Here is a 24,536-nt window from a genome sequence, read left to right on the forward strand (position 1 = left end):
ACTAAGGCTTCCAGCTTGCAGCCTCTGAAACAGCTGTCCAAGCTGTACCTGGGCCCCTTGTAGCCATGGCTGGAGCTGGAGTAGGTGGAATGCAGGTAGCAGTGTTCCAAGGCTGCACAGCGTGAGGCTCTGGGCCTGGCACATGAAACCATTTTTTTCTTCCTGGGCCTTCAGGCCTGTAATGGAAGGCGCTACCATGAAGGTCACTGAAATGCCTTTGAGGCCTTTTCCCCATTGTCTTCATTATACAATCATTATAATAAACTTTACATGTGGTTTTGCCCCCCCCCGAGTGGGCTTTCCTTAATGAATTACGAATTATGGGTAAAAACACGCACAGTTTAATTTCAATGATATAACTATAAATGCCAATCAAATAACATCAACTTGTCACTCAAACACAGCCTAAGCTCAACTCCTCCCAACAAACCCCATGAAAGCACTGAGCTCTGTAAAGAAGAGCCAATTTCACTTCACAGAGATCAGCCCGCCCTCCCTCTGAGAGTGTATAACTGTGCTTCAACAAGCTTTGTTTCAAGCTTGCATTTTGGTGTTAGTTTGCATTTCTTTGCTCACTATCACAAGAACCGAGACTGCTGATCTAGAGCTCCAGCTCTGTTGATCTCCTTGGCTGAAGGGTCCATCCCAACTCAAGATCCCAGGTAACAATAATACCTGCTTCTTGATATAAGGATTCAACAATTTTTTAAAGCGCTGAGACCATGCCTGTTACATAGTAGGCACTTAACACACGCTGATTATTTACATCTAAATCTTCACAACCACCCTAAGAAGTACATGTTATTATTCCCATCTTACAATAGAGAAAATAAGCTCAGATTAATTAATTTTCTTGGGTCTTACAGCAAGTAAGTGATGGTACTGGTATCTGTACTTATATTGAATGGTTTGACTGTAAAATTCTTCTTTTCTCTATATCAAATAGTCCCACGAGGAATGTGTGTGTGTGTGTGTGTGTGTGTGTGTGTGTGTGTGTGTATTTTAAATGAGAACCAAGCAAAAGCTTATGGTAGAGACCAGGCTATCTGAGTCATGTATGATCGTCATTACTATTTTGGTCAAAATATCTGGAAATTAGATTTGACAAAAATCACTTTCAGCATATAATGATGAAGATGATGAATTGTGCTCTAAATATTGAGAAGCTATTTTATAAGATGTGGGAAAATCTGTAACACCTATGTGTGGAATGTCGCCTTGGAGTTTAAAGTTTTATCACAAACTGACAACTCGTTACTGTCTCGGTATGAACAAATTTAAATCTCTACCTAATTTCTAAATTACCTACTGCCTATACCATAGTTTTGTTCTTTTAGTTTACATCTACCTATGTGTAGCAAACACTAGAAAACTTAAACTTTTTTTAAAAAAAAAGAAGCAGAGATGCTTTACTTCTCTAAGCAACGAAGCTGTTGAAATGGAAAGAACTGAGCAAGTATCAACAATGTAACATACTTTGCTTTTTTCCCCATGCTGTAGAAAACTGGAATAGTTCAGGCACCACATCTAAGCTCTTACATAAGTCTTACGCAAGAGTTGTGAGCCAGTTTTTTCCTGAATCAGTGTCAGAGCTAATTCAGATATTTAAGGACCTTTGCTTCCTAATATTCTTGGTAAGCATGGCATGCACTTACTTAGTTCACTTCCGTTATTTTTAAATTACTTGGGTAAACACACACACATTTACATTTATAAACATCCTTGCCAACACAATGAAAGCTCACATTGTGTTCCTCCTAGTATGCTTAGCCTGGGTAGTGTAGGGGAAAGGGAGGGAGAGTTTCTCTATCGTGAACGCTATTTTCTGAATCTTTCCTAAAAACATATACATGCACTGGATACACTTTTAAAGCAAGCTATTATTCACCAGGCCTTTTGCAGAGCATAACTCCAGCATAGAAGGCTAACACATCTATTAACTGGCTCAGTGATTTGATTTTTCTTTTTTTTAATGAGGGAATTGAGGCAGCTAAAAGTTAAGCCACTATGCTTCAGGACAAAGAGAAAATTCGAAACAGAGGTTAGGTCTCAAAGATCCTGTTTGGACCACAAACGTGAAGAGTAGCAAAGAGGAAACATAAAAAAAATCAAAAGATACAATTGAAGGAAACTCCTAACCCCTTCATTCTAAGCACAGCCTTCCAGGACAGCCCTCTTATTCTTTGTCTTAGCAGTTTATCTCCACCTTAATGCAGAATTATAAGTGATTATTTTGCTCTCCAGATGGAGATATTGGCTCCTTTTTGCCAGTCTTCTTAGAATATAAATTAGCTCAACACTGACTCGGGCAGCTACTGTACTAAAGGCAGGAGATAGAGCATTAAACAACCTGTCTGGGTTCACGCCTTTATGGAACTTACCAGAATGATATTGAGAGGTGATAGCATGCTGGCAGTCCTCACAGCCCTCGCTCGCTCTCGGACCCTCCTCTGCCTGGGCCCACCGCTGCACTGTGGGAGCCCCTTTCTGGGCTAGCCAAGGCCGGAGCGGGCTCCCTCAGCTTGCAGGGAGGTGTGGAGGGAGAGGCGCGAGCGGGAACCCGGGCTTTGCGCGGCGCTTGCGGGCCAGCTGGAGTTCCGGGTGGGCGTGGGCTTGGTAGGACCCGCACTCGCAGCAGCTGGCCGGCCCTGCCGGCCCCGGGCAATGAGGGGCCTAGCACCTGGGCCAGCGGCTGCGGAGGGTGTACTGGGTCCCCGAGCAGTGCCAGCCTTAGCTGCCTTCCCGCGGGGCAGGGCTTGGGACCTGCAGCCCGCCATGCCTGTGCCTCCCACCTCCTCCGTGGGCTCCTGTGCGGCCCCAGCCTCCCGGAAGGGCGCCGCCCCCTGCTCCACGGCGCCCAGTCCCATCGACCACCCAAGGGCTGAGGAGCGCAGGCACACGGTGCAGGACTGGCAGGCAGCTCCACCTGCAGCCCCGGTGCAGGATCCACTGGGTGAAGACAGCTGGGCTCCTGAGTCTGGTGGGGACGTGGAGAACCTTTAGGTCTAGCTCAGGGATTGTAAATACACCAATCAGCACCCTGTCTCTAGCTCAGGGTTTGTGAATGCACCAATCCACACTCTGTATCTAGCTACTCTGGTGGGGACTTGGAGAACCTTTGTGTGGACACTCTGTATCTAGCTAATCTAGTGGGGAGGTGCAGAACCTTTGTGTCAAGCTCAGGGATTGTAAACGCACCAACCAGCACCCTGTCAAAACAAACCACTGGACTCTAGTCATCTGCAGGATGTGGGTGGGGCCAGATAACAGAATAAAAGCAGGCTGCCCAAGCCAGCAGTGGCAACCCCTCCGGTCCCCTTCCACGCTGTGGAAGCTTTGTTCTTTCGCTCTTTGCAATAAATCTTGCTACTGCTCTCTTTGGATCCACACTGCTTTTATGAGCTGTAACACTCACCACGAAGGTCTGCAGCTTCACTCCTGAAGCCAGCGAGACCATGAGACCACTGGGAGGAAGGAACAACTCCAGACGCGCCGCCTTAAGAGCTGTAACACTCACCGCCAAGGTCTGCAGCTTCACTCCTGAGCCAGCGAGACCACGAGCCCACCAGAAGGAAAAGACTCAGAACACATCCGAACATCAGAAGGAACAAACTCTAGACATGCCACCTTAAGAGCTGTAACACTCACCACGAGGGTCCGCGGCTTCATTCTTGAAGTCAGCGAGACCAAGAACCCACCAATTGCGGACACAATATGGTTTAGCACAGTGATTCTCAACTCTGGCTGCAATTAAAATCAACTGGAAGCTTTTATAAATCTTATATCTGGGTCCCACTCTCCCAGGGATCCTTATTCACTTGGTCTGGGGAAGAGGCAGGGTGCAGCTGTGGTCAAGAACTATTGGTCAGAGAGATACTACTGTGGGGCAGACAGCTGCTATGCAAGGTGTTAGGTGATCATATTCTTTATTTCTTTATTCCAGCTGTTTACCCAGTGTATATTCACATGGGAGTTGAGTTTAAGTAGTTCAAAGATGAACACTTTCTATCCATATAGTTAATATGTTTTATGTGCACTTAAAAATACATAACGGGAATGTCAAACTTATGAATGCACAGATAATTTGCTCAGTACTGAAGGAGAGGCAAAATTGTACTTCTGCCTTCAGGGTTTTTGGCTGGGCTTGAGGATTAAATTGACCAAAGACAGATTAACTGGAGAAATGCATACACATTTATTTAAAATAAGTTTTACATGACACAGAAGCCTTCATAAGACCCAAACAGGCAGTTGGGGTAGAGCACATATATAGAATTGGACAAAGAGGAGTAAATTATGAAAGTGTGACAAATGGAGGGGGCTTGGGCTGAGTCAGTTATGGTGGAAAAGTAACTAGGAAGATAAGGATTAGTTTAACAAGGTTTCTACAGATTGGTCTCAATTCTGACTCCCCGTTTCTAGTGATAAGAATGTTATTTTCTTTGCGGTATATGAAGGACATCTTCCATATGGGGATTTATTTTCTTCCTTTAGGAGGAAAGAGGGAAGATCAGAGGGTCCTTGTCATACCTACTATTTTTTCAAGTGCCTTCAGCTCAAAATAATCCTCATGTCACACTGGCATACTTTGGATTGGCATAGTCTGGCAGTTTTCAGTACAACAGTATGAAAGTTCCCTTTAAAATAATGAATGAAAAATTACGGGTGTGTCAGATTCAAGAAAAATATTAAATACATAATAGTATAGGTTCTATGAGGATATTGCAAAAACCATGAAGTTGGTGTGAGATTGACACTTAGGAAACAGGGTATGGGGAAATCAATGTGCTTGTATGAACAAGTCATGGGTGATCTGTATTATTCTTGGTGATGGCCCATACATCACTTTGAAAATGAGAAAGAAGTGAAACTGACTGTATTCGATTCCCTAAGTCATCATTTAACTAATGGCCATCTCACTGGATCACCCATTTGCTAAAAGCCAGTTCATTGAATAATTGGCTAACCAATCAACCCAAAGAATACTGATAGACAGATATCTTAAACCAGATCTTTTAGTGTTTTGCTTAGAGAAGTGGAAGCAAATGCATGGGAAATAACTGGGATAGGACATAAACTCTCAAAAATAAAGAAGAGAGTAAGTTGCAGTGAAGTTGGGCTCATCCTGTCCCACTGTTACAGGATCCTTGGGGTGTCACTTTGCCAGCTGGAAACCTCTGTGGCCAGTGGTGCCTTTGCCTGAGTTTTGCTTGGGGCCATCTGGGCTCATTCCACCGCTTGGCCTGACAGGCTGCACTCAGCTCATGGTACCAGCCTGGATCCCCCAGGCCTGCCAAGGGTGAGCCAGGTGTGGAGTGGCAAGGGGTGTGTGAGCAAGCATGGGGTCTGGCCACTGCACATAGCCAGGCACACCAGCTGCAGCAGGGCAGGCAGCTCCAGTTGCTAACATGGGCACTGGCTCCCTCTGAGGCTGTGGCTGGACCAGGTGTACCACAAGCAGCTTCCACAGCTGGCACTGGGGAACATGGTGGCACCCAGAAGCTTGGAGACACCAGGAACTGCAGAGCCCCAAAAGGGGTGTCACGGCCCTGGTGTGGGGAGCTCTTAGGTCTGGACTCCCTGAAGGGCCACAGCTCTTCTCTCCTTCTCTCTTCTCTCTTTGTCACCTGCAATGAGCAAGGGGCATGTTTTAGCCCTGTTTGTGTTACAGCTCTTTTAGCCTTGCCATTTGCAGGGTTCCAAGGTCTCGTCCTGCATCCAGGAAGAATGAGGTACGTGAACAAGTGGAGGGTGAGAAAGGTGATGAAGAGCTTTATTGAGTGACAGAACAACTCAAGGAGACCAACACTGGGTAGCTCCTCTCTGCGGCTGGTTGTCCCATCATCTTCCCAAGTCTGGCTGAGTCTGGGGTTTTTATGGTCTTTAGAGGGGAGGAAGTGCGTGCTGATTGGTCTATGGGCAGCCACAGGTGGGCCCGGAAAAAGCACCACAAGTTCCCACTCTGGTCCCTGGGACCAGCAGCCTGGCCCCCAGGCTTCAGGTCTTCCCCAGCTTGAAGGTGGGGCTTCACTGGGGACCCACCTCCTTCTGCCCGGAAGCCTCTCTGCCTCCTGCTACCATTCATGATGCCCAGGCTGTTCATGTCAAGGGGCACCTGCAGGCCAGCCCCAAGCTGCCCTCAGCCCCCCTTAGCCTCCCTCCTGTGCTCGTTGGTGCCCAAAGTCCAGAGGGGGCCGAGGTGGCAGGGGGCTGGCATGTCAGTGCTGCCCTTGGTGTGCACACACCTGGTCAGGCTGCAACAGCAACCAAGCCCGGCCCCAACCTTGCTTCAAAATCAGAGTGGGTGCCAGGAGCAGGGAGAGGCCAGGCAGCGTGAGCAGACACCCCTGAGACTACAGGGCTTGGGGGGCATTCCCAGGCAGAGATGCCCAGGTTTACAGCCAGAGCTTGGGCAGCTGCAGCTGTGCCCAGAAGGCTCCTGCTGGCTCCCTGAAGTGTGCAGCCCTGCCCTGGCAGTGCCTCCCCACTACAGTCAGTGTCATGGCAGTGGCCTCTCTAGATGGGCTGCTACTCCCATCACCATTGTACCTTAAGAGAAGTTTTTTCTAGTGTCTGAAATTTAAAAGCCAACTGAACCACTTGAAATTCACATCCAACTAAGCCGAGTTGAGAAATTCATGATAAGATGACTCTGTGATGCTGAGGAGAAACTAAAACAAAAAGAAAAACCCTCAGTAATGTAACAGTGGATCACAGTGAATTGATTTTTGCTGAAATGGCTTTTTGTGAATTAGCTGCTTAACAAACTAGCTTTCCACAAAATAGATTTGCTTTAGAATAGCAGCTACTGTACTTATAGAAAACTGGAATACTTTTATTTTAGGCAAGTCTTTCTATATAAGTCCCCTTCTCTAGACTGCTAACTTCTGGAAGTGTATCACATCTCTATTCTCCCCAACAGCTTATTCAATGTATTTGCTGGTGAAACAGCAACAAGCCCTATTAAGATATATTTGGGCCGGGCGCGGCGGCTCACGCCTGTAATTCTAGCACTTTGGGAGGCTGAGGCGGGCGGATCATGAGGTCAGGAGATCGAGACCATCCTGGCTAATACGGTAAAACCCCGTCTCTACTAAAAATACAAAAAATTAGCCGGGCGAGGTGTTGGGTGCCTGTAGTCCCACCTACTTGGAAGTCTGAGGCAGGAGAATGGCGTGAACCCGGGAGGCAAAGTTTGCAGTGAGCCAAAATCATGCCCCTGCACTCCAGCCTGCATGACAGAGCAAGACTCTGTCTCAAAAAAAAAAAAAAAAAAAAAAAAAGATATATTTGGTACAATTTGGTACAGTGCCCATTTCCATTACAATTTAGGGCACACAATATCAAATCCAAGTATCAATTCAGTCTAGCCAATCCAAATATCTATCTATAACTAGAAATGATGAATAGGAGATCTATTTATCTCTGAATATGAGATAACTGTTAACTAGAATTTAAAGAAACAAATAATTAATTGAAAAAGACTAATTCACACTGTAGATCATGAGCTATATACATTTAATCATAAAATTCAATTAACAATTTCGTTCGGCCATCTTTAATATACAGTAAGAATTCTGATATTGTTAGGTGGTTAGATATTGTTAGGTGCAGCTGGGAAGGGGTGAGAGAGGATAGCAGAAGGGCTGTCACTAACCCAGGCCCTGACCCACCTATGTTCAGCCCCCACGACCACCCTAACTCTACCTTAATGGATGGAGTTTCTGGTAAAGTCTGTGGCCAGCACATCTTGGAGGAAGAAGAACTGGGCACAGATAAAAATCCCCTACAGTCATGAATGCCCAGTCCATCTAGGCTGTAACCCCAGGTAACTTCGTCCTCACTACACAGTCATTACAATAAAATTTACATGTGTGTTTGCCCCCTTGAGTGAGCTTTCCTAAATGAATTATGGGTAAAAAAAATTATGTGCAGTTTAACGTCAGAGATATAACCTTAAACTGCCAATTAAATAATATCATCCTGTCACTAAAACACAGCCCAAGCCTCGACTCCTCCCCATAAAACCCGTAAAAGCACGCTGAGCTCTGTGAAAAGGGGCTGATTTCACTTCACAGAGATCAGCCCACTGTCCCTCTGAGAGCGCATTACTATGCTTCAATAAACTTTGCTTTGAGCTTGCATTTTGGTGTTAGTTTGCAATTCTTTGCTCACTATCACAAGAACTGAGTTTGCTGATCTAGAGCTCCGGCTCTCTTGACCTCCTTGGTTGAAGGGTCCATCCCAATGCAGTATCACTGGCAACATCACCAATATATAATCCTTCCTTTCCAGTGAATGATGACTTGTTAACTTTCTCCCTTCGGTGTGACAAATAGAATTGTTTCTGTTCTAGTCTGATCAGAACTCTCATATCCAAGTTCTATTGATCTTTTTTATGTGTCTTCTGTGCAATTCTGGTCTCAGGCTGTTTTATACCGAGATTGTCACTCTTATGTATTAAGTGCAGAAAACAGTCTCTTGTGTTATAAATGTTCAAGGTGCTGGTTTTAGATACAGTCTTTGCCAGGGGTATTTATAGGGGTTGATTTCCTCAAAGGATCCCTCTGAAATGCATGCCACACAATGGGAAAATTTCTTCTATTAGGTGACCTTGGATTTCTCTCTCTGACTCAAATGTTTGCCCTATTATGGCAGTAGAAGCATTTAAACTTAGCAACTTCAGTCAGAAAGAGTAATTTCCTGATTAGATCTGAGGAGATTATGACCCTTTACTTCTGTAAGTCAATTAACACTTGATGTTTGACTGACACTCAAGTCAAACATCATTAAATGCTTTGCCAAGCAGCAGAACCTCAAGGTTTTATTGTTTAACCATTCACTACTAGTATATGGACTGAACTAGCATTGTACATGCTGAATAAATAAACAAAAACTCCCCAAACAATATACTACTTTAATATAACTGCCATGTTTGTCTATCTCCAAAAATATGATCCTTCTAAGAAATATTTTGTTTTAACCTAGCCAGTTGCAGTGAGCTGAGATCGCGCCATTGCACTCCAGCCTGGGTGACAGAGGGAGACTCCATCTCAAAAACAAAACAAAACAAAACAAACAAAAACAAAAACAAAACAAAACAAAAAACCCCACAGAACACCTTAGACTGGGTCATTTATAAACAACAGAATTTTACTGCTCATGGGTCTGGAGACTGGGAAGTCCAAGGTCAAGGCACCAGTATATTCACTGTGCAGTGAGGGCCCATTCCACTTGGTTGGTGCCTTCTGTGTGTCCTCACATGGCAGAGGGGGCAGAAAAGCTCCCTCAGGCTTCTTTTATAAGGGCACTAACCCCATTCATGAGGGCAGAGCCCTCATGACTGAATCACCCCCAAAGGGTCTACCTCTTAATACTATCACCTTGGAGTTTAGGTTTCAACATATGAATTTTAGAAGGACACAATCAGTGTGTAGCAATCCTCACCCCCAGTTTTCCCCCTGAAATCCTATAAGGAGAGGCATCTCAGTCATTACTTTGAATTTGAAACTCGGTTATTCCCATAAAAGGTTTTATATTATGCTCACAAAGGCTACCTCAACTGGGCTTAGTGAACAGATACCTTGAAACAAGACAGGTTACTGGCAGATGGCTTAAGAATGGAAAATTTGCCTTGGTGATTTGTAAAATGAGGTAAAGGGGCAGGGACTGGGAAGACAATTGACTTGGTGGGGAAAGGGACCCAGAAATAGGCATGTCTTATTCCCAGCACCCAGAAGGGCTGCCTGATCCTAGACATTTTATGACCTTTATGACATTATTAATAAAGCCTATAAAGAATCTCCAGGTCTAGACCTGCACTGCCCAGCAGAATGATCTGCAATGATGGAAATGACTTCCATCCACTCTATCCAATATGGTAACCACTGGCCACATGTGGCTATTGAGCATATAAACTGTGGCTAGTACAAGTGAGGAAGTGAGTTTTTAATGTAAATGTGTAAATATAAATAACCCCAGGTGGCTAGTGCCCACTGTCAGAGAGTACAGGTCGGGACCATGTTCCCTATGACAGTTTTGCCTATATGTTGCCAAAACCAAACGAAACTCAATTTTTTTTTTTTTTTTTTTTTTTTTTTTTTTTTAGTGACAAGGGTCTCCCTTTGTTGTCCAGGCTGGTCTTGAACTCCTGGGCTCAGGGCTTAAGTAATCCACCCACTTTGGCCTCCCAAAGTGCTGGGATTACAGGTATGAGTCACTGCGCCCGGCCTTATTACTTTTAATTCTAACAACAGACCTTCAAGATAAATATTAATTTTTTTTACACAATGAAGTTGAAGTTCAGAGAGGTCATGAAGATAGTACAGGACAGAGCTGGAATTTAAACCTAGACCTGTCTGACTTTGAAGTCTATATTTTTTCCAATACATCACACCAAAGCTACCAAACATATAAAAATACTTAAAATTTTTTATCTATGTCTGCTTTTGTAGATCAAGCCATACATTTATTATATTTTATTAGCATAAAGAATACAATTTTTTTCTCCATCATTCTCTGTACCTATTTCTCTTTATGTGATACAACAGAAGAGAGTGACTGTTGTCTACAGCAGAGGTAGTTATCTTAGGAAACACAGATAGAATAATAAAAGGTAAGGACTAACTTATGACTAATAGAGGCATCAATTGCTACTAGCATTCTGAGATATAATTATTTTTAAAGTATATTAGGAAGAACAGTTGCATCTTCTCACTGCCTGTTATTTGAGGTAACTATTCACAGCTGAACACTGATATGGATTAATCCCGGTATGACTCAGTTCAAATCCTATGTTCTTATGATAGGCCATTAGCAAATTAAAGAATAAGAATCCTACATAGAGCTCAGTTGTAAGCTAACAACTTATTAGTTCAAGGAAGGTCTCAAGCTTTATCTGCCGGTGTCATTATGAAAAAAAATACCAACTGCTTGAAAATGTAAGACTTATGAAAATCAAACATAAACAAATGTTTATGTATTTGAATAAATTCATGAGAAGCAATGCTAATTTGAGAGAAAGCAGAAGAGTATGATACACTTGATAACACAGTTGTAGACAGAACCCCAATTAATCAGTTTTAAGTGCTCTTTGCAGTTATTGGATTTAGTCTTCTTGAACAAGACTTTAGAGGCTGTAAAACGAGCCAAAGTGAAAAAAGAAAAGACTAAGTATCCAAATAGACCCACAGCATTACGGAAGGCTATGCTTCTGAACAAGCAAGTAGGGTCAAGGGCCAGCTATTTTAGGAACAAATGGTACCCAGAGATATCAGCTTAAAGGGAGCGCTTAGAAACGAAGAGTTAGCCCTCAGAAGAAAACCAGACAATATACAAAGTAAAAGTTCATGGTATCTGGCAAACTAAAAGCGGGCCAGACATTCATAAAGAGCGCTTATGGGTGGGCAGTTGGGCATTGACAGGATAGGAGTCACTGCAAGGAAAGAGGTCAAAAACAGAACAATCCAGCCACGAAGGAGGCTGCAGTGTAGAACAAGAAACACTCTAGGAGAATAGTATAGGAGCCAGGCCACTGAAGAGCTAGGGCGTCAAGAAGGAAGCCAAGGATGGGCTGAGGATGCAGCCGCGAGTGACCTCAATGCATGACCGACTCATCGCTGAGCAAGAGAGCAGCTCCCTCAGAGTCCTTAGAGTTCCCTTAGGAACAATGAGGTGCCAGCTGGTAGGCATGAGGACTCGGACCAAGAAAAAGCTCAGTTCAGCCTTTAAAGAGGGTGAGACCACTTGATGTGCAATCTTAGTAGAAAGAGTGGCCCTTTGGGAATCATCATGAATCATATCTCTCCCTGGGGGCTGCTGAAAAAGATCAGGATGCCAGAGCCCTTACTTGCCATGGATAGATATGGACTTGGGCCATGGTACCTTGGAAGGTAGCAAGGACAGTAACCTAATTCTCTCAAGCTTCTGTTTCTCTACCTAAAGGCATAATCAGAGTTAATCCGAGATTTTCATCACCCCAAATGGCACAGACACACTCTCTGAACCACAGGTGTTCTCTGATAGCAGTGGAAGATGTTCCCCTTTTCCATTTAATATTTTTTATTATTTTCACTCTATTCATTTTTATTTATTTATTTTTTAGAGACAGAGTCTCGCTCTGTCACCCAGGCTAAAGTACAGTGATGCAATCATAGCTCACTGTAATCCCAAACTCCTGGGCTCAAGCAATCCTCCTACAACTAGGACTACAGTCATATACCACCATGCCCAGCTTTTTTTTTTTTTTTTTTTTGAGATGGTGTCTCAGTATGTCACTGAGGCTGGAGTGCAGTGGTGCTCTCTCAGCTCACTGCAACCTCCACTTCCCACGTTCAAGCAATTCTCCTGCCTCAGCCTCCTGAGTAGCTGGGACTACAGGTGTGTGCCACCACGCCTGGCTAATTTTTTTATTTTTAGTAGAGACGGAGTTTCGACATGTCGCCCAGCGTGGCCTCAAACTCCTGGCCTCAAGTAATCTGCCCACCTCGGCCTCTCAAAGTGCTGGGATTACAGGCATGAGCCACTGTGTGCACTCCCAGCTAGTTTTTTGAGAAATTTTTTTGCAGAGATGGGGTCTCACTATGTTGCCCAGGCTGGTGTCAAACACCTGGCCTCAAGTGGTCCGTCTCAGCTTCCCAAACTGCTGGGAGAGCAAGCGTGAGCCACCATGCCAGGCCCTCTTTTCCACTTTAGTGTTTTCTTTCACCCCTGTAAGAACCAGACCCTACTATGTCTTTAGTGCCATCATTTGCACCCAGGAAAACTGCAAGAGTCCCTCTGTATTTGCTCCTCTGATGGGGGGGATTGTAAGTACAAAAGGCCGTACTTTTCCTGCAGCACAGGGTACAATGTCACTGATTATCTCCACCATGCAAACCGGTAAAGGCATGCTTTGGAAAAACTCACATGTCTCGATGCTCTCCCACTAGAATCCATTTACTCCCTTTCTGTATTTACTGTGTTTCCCCACACAGTGTGCAAAAGTCGTGGCAGTTGCACTTCAGTGTTTAGCTTGTTTTCTTTATTTGCTAGGAGATTTGGCTTCTGAGAGGAGTAAAAAAATGGGGAAAAAACGTGTGAACGGGTGTATCTTGAAGTCTACTGTCAAAAACTTTGCAGTATGCCAGCTGTGGTGGCTCATGCCTGTAATCCCAGGAATTTGGTAGGCCAAGGTGGGAGGATTGCTTGAGCCCAGGAGTTTGAGACCACCCCAGGTAACATGGCAAAAACCCACCTCTACTAAAAATACAAAAAATTAGCTGGGCGTGGTGGCGGACGCCTGTAGTCCCAGCTACTCGGGAGGCTGAGGCAGGAGAATGGCATGCACCCGGGAGGCGGAGCTTGCAGTGAGCCGAGATCGTGCCACTGCACTCCAGCCTGGGCGACAGAGCGAGACGAGACTCTGTCTCAAACAAACAAACAAACAAACAAACAAACAAACAAAAAAAACATTAGCCGGGCATGGTGGTGCACTCCTGTGGACCCAGCTACTCGGGAAGCTGAGGTGGGAGGATTGCCTGAGCCCAGGAGGCTGAGGCTGCAGTGAGCCGTGATTGTGCCACTGCACTCCAGCCTGGGTGACAGGAGTGAGACTCTGTCTGAAAACAAAACAAAACAAAAACAAAAAACCAAACTCAGCAGTGAAATCTACAAATCTGCCTTTGCCTTCCCCAAACTTTATTTTCCATAGTCTCGCATATGTGTGACTCTCTCTCAGTTATCCTATCAAAATTCTTTGGTTTTAGTTTCTTCTTGAAACAATTAATTTGGGCTAGAGTCAACAGAACACCAGAGCTACTTGGAAAACAACAAATTAATCTCATAATTACCATAGAAAACATTAAAACCAGAAAAAATATATTAAGAATATGCCTATAGAAGTTTATTTTTTATTATTATTATTATTATTATTATACTTTAAGTTTTAGGGTACATGTGCACAATGTGCAGGTTAGTTACATATGTATACATGTGCCATGCTGGTGTGCTGCACCCATTAACTCGTTATTTAGCATTAGGTATATCTCCTAATGCTATGACAAACCCACAGCCAATATCATACTGAATGGGCAAAAACTGGAAGCATTCCCTTTGAAAACTGGCACAAGACAGGGATGCCCTCTCTCACCACTCCTATTCAACATAGTGTTGGAAGTTCTGGCCAGGGCAATTAGGCAGGAGAAGGAAATAAAGGGTATTCAATTAGGAAAAGAGGAAGTCAAATTGTCCCTGTTTGCAGACGACATGATTGTATATCTAGAAAACCCCATTGTCTCAGCCCAAAATCTCCTTAAGCTGATAAGCAACTTCAGCAAAGTCTCAGGATACAAAATCAATGTACAAAAATCACAAGCATTCTTATACACCAATAACAGACAAACAGAGAACCAAATCATGAGTGAACTCCCATTCACAATTGCTTCAAAGAGAATAAAATACTTAGGAATCCAACTTACAAGGGACGTGAAGGACCTCTTCAAGGAGAACTGCAAACCACTGCTCAATGAAATAAAAGAGGATACGAACAAATGGAAGAACATTCCATGCTCATGGCTAGGAAGAATCAATATCGTGAAAATGGCCATACTGCCCAAGGTAATTTATAGATTCAATGCCATCCCCATCAAGCTACCAATGACTTTCTTCACAGAATTGGAAAAAACTACTTTAAAGTTCATATGGAACCGAAAAAGAGCCCGCATGGCCAAGTCAATCCTAAGCCAAAAGAACAAAGCTGGAGGCATCACGCTACCTGACTTCAAACTACACTACAAGGCTACAGTAACCAAAACAGCATGGTACTGGTACCAAAACAGAGATATAGATCAATGGAACAGAACAGAGCCCTCAGAAATAACACCGCATGTCTACAACTATCTGATCTCTGACAAACCTGAGAAAAACAAGCAATGGGGAAAGGATTCCCTATTTAATAAATGGTGCTGGGAAAACTAGCTAGCCATAAGTAGAAAGCTGAAACTGGATCCCTTCCTTACACCTTATACAAAAATTAATTCAAGATGGATTAAAGACTTAAACGTTAGACCTAAAACCATAAAAACCCTAGAAGAAAACCTAGGCATTACCATTCAGGACATAGGCATGGGCAAGGGCTTCATGTCTAAAACACCAAAAGCAATGGCAACAAAAGCCAAAATTGACAAATGGGACCTAATTAAACTAAAGAGCTTCTGCACAGCAAAAGAAACTACCATCAGAGTGAACAGGCAACCTACACAATGGGAGAAAATTTTTGCAACCTACTCATCTGACAAAGGGCTAATATCCAGAATCTACAATGAACTCAAACAAATTTACAAGAAAAAACAAACAACCCCACCAAAAAGTGGGCAAAGGATATGAACAGACACTTCTCAAAAGAAGACATTTATGCAGCCAAAAGACACATGAAAAAATGCTCACCATCACTGGCCATCAGAGAAATGCAAATCAAAACCACAATGAGATACCATCTCACACCAGTTAGAATGGCGATCATTAAAAAGTAAGGAAACAACAGGTGCTGGAGAGGATGTGGAGAAATAGGAACACTTTTACACTGTTGGTGGGACTGTAAACTAGTTCAACCATTGTGGAACTCAGTGTGGCGATTCCTCAGGGATCTAGAACTAGAAATACCATTTGACCCAGCCATCCCATTACTGGGTATATACCCAAAGGACTATAAATCATGCTGCTATAAAGACACATGCTCACGTATGTTTATTGCGGCACTATTCACAATAGCAAAGACTTGGAACCAAGCCAAATGTCCAACAATGATAGACTGGATTAAGAAAATGTGGCACATATACACCATGGAATACTATGCAGCCATAAACAATGGTGAGTTCATGTCCTTTATAGGGACATGGATGAAATTGGAAATCGTTCTCAGTAAACTATCGCAAGGACAAAAAACCAAACACCAGATGTTCTCACTCATAGATGAGAATTGAACTATGAGAACACATGGGCACAGGAAGGGGAACATCACACTCTGGGGACTGTTGTGGGGTGGGGGGAGGGGGGAGGGATATGCCTGTAGAAGTTTAGAAATATTTTCTGTAATAAAAAGAATGACGTTTATATCCTACGGCATAGTATACCCAGAAGGAGGCAAAAACGCTATTGAACAGTGAGAAAGAACATTGCATATTCTCATTTTCAGCGGGAAAGAAAAGCTTTATCAGAGGCAGGCTGTTTTAAGGATTAATGTTCCCAGATGGAGATAAATCTTAACTATTGAAATAGTGTTTTCTCAGATCTAGTTTAAAAAGTGTTCGCTTCTGGAAATCTCTTACTTGTTCCTTTGTTTATAATTATTTTGAACATTTGCTTTCTGTTATCTGTGAAGAGATTTGAAAAGAGCAGGTCTTTTGGATGGTTGCTTTAGGAGTGACCTCCCTTGGCTTAAACAGGCATTTGTTGGATAACATCTCTGCATGATTTTTAAAAGTTAGCAGAAGTGAGAAGGGTAATTGAAGTTTCCAGAATCAAGAAAAACTACAAAAGAAGCTCATTTTTATAAATGCTATTGTCTTATATAACCCCCTGGAAGACACCCAGTTCTCACTTCTAAGAGCTCTCATGAGTCAGTTTGTCATTTGATATTTTGTAGAGTTTGCAGTAAATTAGAAGACGTGAATTCTTCTGCTTAACTTCAATGACAAACTATTTTGTACTTTAGTTCCTTAAGAAACTAAATAGAGGGAACCTTTTTTATCTCTTTCCTATCTATGTCCAACCTACTCCCAACTTCTAGAACAGTTTCTTGCATGTAGTGAGTGCCCCATAATTGTAGAATTAAATCGAATTTGGGCAATTTTTCCTTCTTTTGAAAATGAAACTAAAAAAATATGAAGCCAGGAAGTTTTACCAGTCTTCCCCACAACCACCCACAGACATCAGGCTCTCAAGCATCTGCCTTTCCTGGGCTGGGGAATGAGTATCCTGTCTTCCCTCCCCTTCCTTCTTCTCCCTTTGCTCTTCCTGCTCCTACCTCCTCCTCTTTCTCCCCTACCCGCTCCTGTTCCTTCCCTTTCTCCTCTTCCATAACCTAGAAGTTTCTAACCAAGAAATCTATACACACAAAGAACAACTGCCAATGGGAAAACAAAATATCACTTCATTAAGAGCTAGGCAAGGACTCAATCATCCCAATGCAACGCTCTCTAGCAAGAGGAATTTGGATAATAAAGTTGAAGTAAGGAAGCCTAAGTCCCTGTGCCTGACTCTAAGATTATCAGGAAGCCCACTTATGCTCCAAAACACATCAAAAACGATATAAGAAGGCCGGGCATGGTGGCTCATGCCTGTAACCCCAGTACTTTGGGAGGCTGAGGTAGGCAGATCACTTGAGATCAGGAGTTTTAGACTAGCCTGGCCAATACAGTGAAACACTGTCTCTACTAAAAATACAAAAATTAGCCGGGCGTGGTGGTGCATGCCTGTAATCCCAGCTACTCAGGAGACTGAGGCATGAGAATTGCTTGACCCCAGAAGGTGGAGGTTGCAGTGATTGTGTCAAGATTGTGCCACTGCAGACTGGCCTGGACAAGACAGTGAGAATCTGCCTCAAAACAAACAAACAAACAAAAAAAAAACATGTAAGAAGATCTTACAGCAAGTCAGCAGGGTCCACCAAGGTCTTTGGCCAGAAGCTGAGAGTTTACCATGTGGACACAGGAAACAGCAGTAGAGTGACTCGGGTGGGTTTGTCCTTAACCACTCAGGAATTTCAGCAATTCCGACCATGGGTAAAACCCAGTGCAGTGACACTCTCATGTTCTCACCGACCAGGAAACCACTTACTCTGCTTTGGGGAGGAGTTAGTGCAGGACTGGGCGTGGGCAGAAGAATGGACACATTTTGCTTCCCTCATGGACCGAGGTGGGAAGTGGGAAGGGGAGACTAAATGTTCCTGGACAGGAAAGCATAAATCCAGAGTTGGAACGTGAGTTTATGATCTTACTCTATTTCTATTTTACAGAGGAAACCAGTCGACAGAGCTGTGATTTGCCCTGTGATTTGCCCTGGGCCTTCCCACAATTCTAGAAACCCATGACTTGACATCATTGCGCGGCCACCTGACTCCCAGCTGGCTTCAGCCTCTCCGTTTCATCTCCCTCTACTCTCACTCTGCTGCTACCAAGTCAGACTTCTTTTCAGGTCCTTAAACAATCTCTGTACTTTTCCATCTCCGTGTCTTTGATGACTTGATTCCCTTTCCTCACTCCATCATTAACATACGTACCCCTCAAGACCCAGCTCAGATGCCACTTCTATGAGACACTCTGTTTCTGTGCCAGAAACAGTTAAGCCTTTATTTGCGTGTCCAAAGTGTGCCCCAGAGCAAGGATCTGGCAATCGGCATTTGAAACCTGGCTCCTTGGCTTCTTAGCTCTGACCTTGAGCAAATTACTTATTTTTTTGTTGTTGTTACTCAGTTTCCTAAAATATCATATAGGGACTTGTCATGTCATGTTAATGGACATAATATAAATTAAATAGTATAATGGCAAGTATCCATCGGTCACCAAAAAGGGAGCCTACTATTACTGCCTGTAGCTATATTTTAGCATTGATGACAAAATATGGTAAATTATATCTATTTGTAGACCTAAGTTATCCCTTCCCATTGATTATTCACTTGCTGAGACTGCAACAATAGCTGCCCATTTTTTTATCTCTTCCATCCCCACCCAGCTGTCTTGCACAATATACAAAGTCAATACATGTCTGATCAACGGAATGGACTTAATCTGCCAAAACAGACCTGACTCTCTATCAGTGATACAGGAGCTAAAAAGAAATTATTTAGGCAGAGAGTGAGAGTAAGGGAGTCCTTGGCAAGGCTTCCCTTTTAACAAAAAGCAGCCCCCAGATAATTTCTTTTCTAACAAAAAGCAGCCTGTAAAATCAAGCTGCAGACATAGATAACCAAGCTGGAAGCTTGCACAGGTGAATGACGGCGGCTGTGCATTGCAATAGGGGAAGCCTACCTGGGGGCCAGGTAGGTTCAACATGGAGGCTCCATCTTCGCTTTTCTTTGTCACCATGTGTACAGTAAAGAAACAGGCAACATGGCGCTGGCCAGGTAGAGAACCAACTGCATAATTAAAGATTAGGGTGGGGTGGCCAGCTATGCAAATGGCACACCTGGTCTCACCAATCTCTCATGCCCTATATAAATCAGACACCGCCTCCTCAAGCTCATCTATAAAATCTTATGCACTTGGCTGTGAACCGGAACACCTGCTGGGGTGCCCCTCTCTCTCTCTGCAGGAGAGAGAACTCTTCCTTTTCTTTCGCCAATTAAACCTCCACTCTTAACCTCACTGTTTGTGTGTCTGCGTCCTTGATTCCCTTGGCGCAAGGCAACAAACGTTGGGTATTACAGACCAATGATGCCGCTTCACCAGCTCATATATGGCAAAAACTGCAATAAGTTTTGCACCAACCCTAATGCTAAATTATTAATTACTACTTACCTAAAAAAGAGAACCATATAAATTAATTAGTATTGTACAACACTACATGTATTTAGTCAAAATACCAGATAACCTAACTTTATATTTATGTATACATCACATGTATTTTTAAAATTAATTCTTCACTTTAGTGAAGTATTATAAACTGTTAATCATTCATCCTAACTTTTGCTTAGCCTTTGAAGTTCAGACCTCTCCAAAATTTTTTCCTCCACCTGGTTAAGAACTATTTTCTTTGGACTTAATCTGGTTTTTCTATTGTAGATCACATCTAATCAAGGTAGTTGAATAGACTCAACAAACCAGTAAGAGGTTGTTGAAGTATCATTCATAACAAAAGGTAACAACAGTTCCTTATAGGCCATATCTCATGCCTTCTGTTTTACTGGTGCAAGTTTGTGCCCCAGGAGGGTTAGGAATGGCATCTAACACCCCCGTGGAGCAGACAGACCCCTTTTGTAAGTGTGTATTTGTTTCAACCACATGCCTTAAGCTCAGTTTAAAAAAATAAAATTAAAAAAAATTTATGTGAGTACAGAAAGTTTGCATCACATTCACTCTACAACATCTTTAAAGGCAGCGATTATTCCAGAACACAGAGGAGACAAACAAGGCCCCTTTGTTCCAGGAGTGCACTCCTTAAAGAGCAGTTCCAAGCCCATCAGTCTGAAGGGCCAGGCAGTTGGCCCCGGGGGAGCCTGCCAAACACCCAGAGATGCTTCCCGGGAATCTTCTGCTGCTGCTGAAGTGTTGACAGGCTCTTGAGCTGAGAGCTCAGGCTGTTGATAGGAATATATAGCTCAGATAGTCAGAAATCAACCTACTCAAATTTCTCAGACCATTCTCTCCTTCGTTTCTGTCTTTTTAACAATCCAAGTACAGATTTTCTTTTAAAAACCTTCTTCCAAAAAAATGTCTACGTTCCTGCTTCCTCCTGGGGGTAACGAAATAAAAGGCTTAAGGTGCTTTAAGGAAAATGGAGTCAGTTCCCCTCCCTTCAGCCCTCAAGTTCTGCTGATTCCAAGGGGTGGGTGGCGAGGGCCAGCAGTTGGCGGCACCCACTCCCTGTCTCCTCTCACTTGGTATCTCCCTGGCCTCACGCTCAATCAGGTCTTCCGTGACCACACAGGGAAATGAAGAATACTGTTCGCTTACGAAGAATCTGGGAATCCCTGCAGTCCATGATTTTCTTTTTTCTATTTTACTTTCTTCTCAAAAGCCTTTTATTTTCTAAAAGCACATACAGTATAAGCCCATTCTGATGATTTTAGGAGCATCCATTCCTCAATGCAAAGATATTAATGCTAGATAATAAAGCTCTGAGTTCATACATTTAAAAGTCGAGAGAGTGAGGAGTGAGGGGAGAGAGAGGGAGCAGAAAACGCTAGCTGCCTTAATACTCATTTTCCTCTTCTACAAACCCTTGATATTTAGCTAATGTACCCTACCTTTCTCAAGGTCCCCAGCAGCTAAGGAAGGCCATGTGACTAATTCTGGCCAATGGGATGTAAGAAATTCAAAGTGCATTTCACAGAGCATGTTAGGAACACGCCCATTCTTCCAGCCCTTCCTCAACCCTGGTGTTCGTACCAGGGACTTGGTGTCAAAGGCAACGTCCCAGAAGAAACCTCATGCAATGCAGTGACAATATCAGTCCTGGAAACCCTATCTCTGGACTCTGGGATAAAAGAGCAATACATTTCTATATTGTTTATACCACCGTTAATTTGAGTTTTAATTTTATTTCATGAACCCAGTCATATTTTAAGCCAAGGTGGATTTCCCACAAAGCTAATGGAGCAGAAGCTTTAGAAACCCTCACTTGCGTCAGGCGTGGTGGCTCACGCCTGTAATCCCAGCACTTTGGGAGGCCGAGGCAGGTGGATCACCGGAGGTCAGGAGTTCAAGATCAGCCTGGCCAACATGGTGAAACCCCGCCTCTACAAAAATACAAAAATTGGGTTGGGCATGTTGGTGTGTGCCTGTAATCCTAGCTACTCGGGAGGCTGAGGCAGGAGAATTGCTTGAACCTGGGAGGCGGAGGTTGCAGTGAGACAAGACCACGCCATTGCACTCCATCCTGGGCAAAAAGAGCGAAACTCTGCCTTAAAAAAAAACAAAAAACAAACAAAAAAAACAAAACCCTCACTTGCCAGGATGACTCCAAAGCCTGAGGAGGAACCCCGACATTGGGGTCACATGGTCATCTTATATTCTTTTCTTTAAAAGGTTCCTCAACTGCATAAGCCTCACACCTCATCCATGATAAGCCAGTGAGTCTTTCCACGTGTGCCTCTTGAGTGGGGCAGCGCCATTCTGGTCAGCCCACCTTACATGTAGCACAGTAAATAGTTCACAGTTTCTCCTGCATCAGATCATCTACTTGGTGAAATTTAGGAATAGCACAGCCCATTGTTTCCCAAAGTACATTCCTAGATATTAATAATTGTTATAAGAGAAAAGAGTAACAGAAAAGTATAATATTAGCTAAGATGTTTTTGTCTATGTTTTTAACTACAATATTTCTCAGAGGAAGCAATGTGGGAATGTGCATAGTGAATATCCCAGCACAAGAGAAGGCTGTATTTCCTAAACGTATTGGACCACCAAACCCCCTTTTTAAGTAGTTGGTGGGTTATATTTTTGTGAAGCATGATTTGAAAGCACTCTCCTGGTCTCAGTAGCAAATATTTGTTGACTATCTCTTTGGGGAAGTTAAGTGTTTTATTTTTGTAGCATTAGTGGAAGAAGGTAATTTTTCTTCCTGATTTTATTGTTTATAATTGCTCCCTGTCTGGAGTTTGCTAATCAGTAAGCATTGATTTCAACAATATTGTCATTTCTGCATTGACACTGATGCATCTCTCAGGTCTCCAACAAAAGCTAAGAGTGACATGTACAAAATGTTAGATCACCTGTGGAGGAAAGGGTGTGAGTTCAAGGGAGTCGGAGTCACACTGAGGTTTCATCTCCTGTGAGGAAGATCTTTGATGGGGGGATACAGAAAGCTACAACCACGATGGAGACGTAGTTCTGCAGAAAGGACCCATTTCTGTGCTTATGTCAGTGCTTGGAGAAATCTCCAGGCTCATTTATGTGAGCCACATTTTCATTACAGGAAAATAATTGACACCATGCTTCTTGGCTTTAACTGAAATTTAAGCATTTACACCTGTATTCATCTTCTAGGGTTTCTACAAAAAAGTATCATAAACTGCATGGCTGCATGTACCCTACCTTTCTCAAGTTCCCCAGCAGCTAAGGAAGGCCATGTGACTGATTTTGGCAGAAATTTATTTTTTCACAGTGCTGGAGACTGGAAGTTCAAAGCCAAGGTGTCAGCAGTCCTTGCCTCCTCCTACCTTCTGGTGGTGGCCATTGATTCTTGGCATTTCTTGGCTTGCAACTGCACCACTTGAGTCTCTGCCTCTTTCCTCACATGGCATTTTCCTCTTACAGGGGTTAGGAATTCAACATACTTTTTGGAGGGGGCACAATTCAATCCATAGTAACACCAAAGACTCCTTAATTTTCTGTAGGGCAACATAATGTCATGATGGACAGAGCTCTGAGTTAGGAGTCCGAAGGCCTTAGTGGGCACTTAGCAAATCTCTAGGCTACATTTCTATATATATAAACAAGGATAACAATACACTCCTTGACTTCCCTGTAAGGGTTGTAACAAAGATATAGAAAAGTGCTCTGTAGCCTTTCAATGATGATAGAAGTGTTATTGTCTTCAAAGAGAAACATGGCTAATGTGGGTAATTGAAATTTGGCATATGATCTCACACCTTACTTTAGACAATGATTTTGACCTCTACCTCCTTCTTCTCTCTACTAGACAAAGACATAATTTTGTTTATATTGCTGCCCTTGCACTCTCTACTAAGTGATGTTAGATGATGAGGAAAGTCCTTGTCAGTGCAGCCAATTCTCAAATTGAATCTGAAGCATCCGGTAATGGGAAAATGTCCATATTGCTTCAATAATCATTCTTTAATAGAGTTTCAACTTGGAGAAAAAGACTGAAAAATGCCAGCAGAAGACTTTTTCTAAAAAAAAAGACCAACTACATATTAATTAATCTAAAATTACTCAGCTTCAGTTGTATGTGCCTTTAACATGATAATAAGGGAATAGTAGGGCCATGGTTTATAAACCAGTGACTTCATCTTTAGAAGAACTGGTGATAGTAATGGGAATTTGCAGGCTAGTTCAGTTTTGCAGAAGTTCCCCATATCATATTTTCATTTACTTAGTGCAGGGTAACTCAAATGTTCATCCTTTTCCTGAGGATAGAATTTACTACATTGTTTATCAATAGTAATACTGGTTATGTCATGTTGGGTAAATGTTCTCTTTGGCAATCATGTATCAATCCAAATAAATAAAAATAAGTTACTTATAACATGCAATTTTTTGATATGCAAAATCTTATAAAGCATGGGGTTAAAGGGAGATTGAGATTTTAAATAGGGATTCTTGATAGTTAAAATATTGAGAAGAGTGGAGTTGAGGATGAATACTGATGATATGATTCCCCTTTAATGAACACTGGAAAAACAAGGCAGGCTTCCAAATACTGTGTTCTATTTGTACTTCAACTAATCACTTGACTTAAATGCCTTTTAACTCTGACCTTCTGGAATTTCCTGTGCAATCTTCCACTATTTAAAATGAAGTCGGCTGATTGATTTCTTTACCATTTCAGAATGTCCTGTATCATTTTAATGACTGGAGTGTGACTTTGTTCTCAGCACAATGAGTAACAAAGCCAAAACACTGGAGAATACGTTTACGTATTCAAGAAAACCTCAGACAAGGAAGAATGCTTTCATAATACAGTACATTAAAATCAGACGAAGCCTCGAAGGGCAGAATCACCGACCCTGAAAAATCAGAGTGTACTACAGAAGAAGACGACAGCGTTTGAGCACATTTGTTGAAGCAGCCTCCTCTCCCTTATGGTACGATAATCCCACACCGTTTTACCATGCTCTCTGGCCTTCCCAGAACATCAATAAAAACTGCATCCCCTGA

At 42.9% G+C, this 24,536-nt stretch overlaps 2 long non-coding RNA genes across 3 annotated transcripts in view, besides 1 other annotated feature; one reads left to right on the top strand and one right to left on the bottom strand.

The window, feature by feature from the left end:
• Positions 1 to 17,723, bottom strand: part of LINC03019 (long intergenic non-protein coding RNA 3019) — a 45,630-nt gene extending 27,907 nt beyond the window's left edge. For both annotated transcript variants that reach the window (NR_015383.2, NR_152742.1), the window contains exon 1: positions 17,625 to 17,723. This is a non-coding gene — a long non-coding RNA (long intergenic non-protein coding RNA 3019). The remainder of the gene's footprint in view (positions 1 to 17,624) is intronic.
• Positions 252 to 769: an enhancer, noted in NCBI's record as "NANOG hESC enhancer chr8:12651516-12652033 (GRCh37/hg19 assembly coordinates)". NCBI's record gives its function as "activates a minimal SCP1, AML or CMV promoter by ChIP-STARR-seq in naive H9 embryonic stem cells {active_cell/tissue: H9 hESC(naive)}" and the evidence as "EXISTENCE:reporter gene assay evidence [ECO:0000049][PMID:30033119]".
• LINC00681 (long intergenic non-protein coding RNA 681) lies at positions 485 to 24,536 on the top strand. The gene is made up of 2 exons (NR_102423.2): positions 485 to 662; positions 24,208 to 24,536. It is a non-coding gene; the product is annotated as a long intergenic non-protein coding RNA 681 (long non-coding RNA).

Source organism: Homo sapiens, chromosome 8, assembly GCF_000001405.40.
Source record: "Homo sapiens chromosome 8, GRCh38.p14 Primary Assembly".
In the NCBI taxonomy this organism is placed as follows: Eukaryota; Metazoa; Chordata; class Mammalia; order Primates; family Hominidae; genus Homo; species Homo sapiens.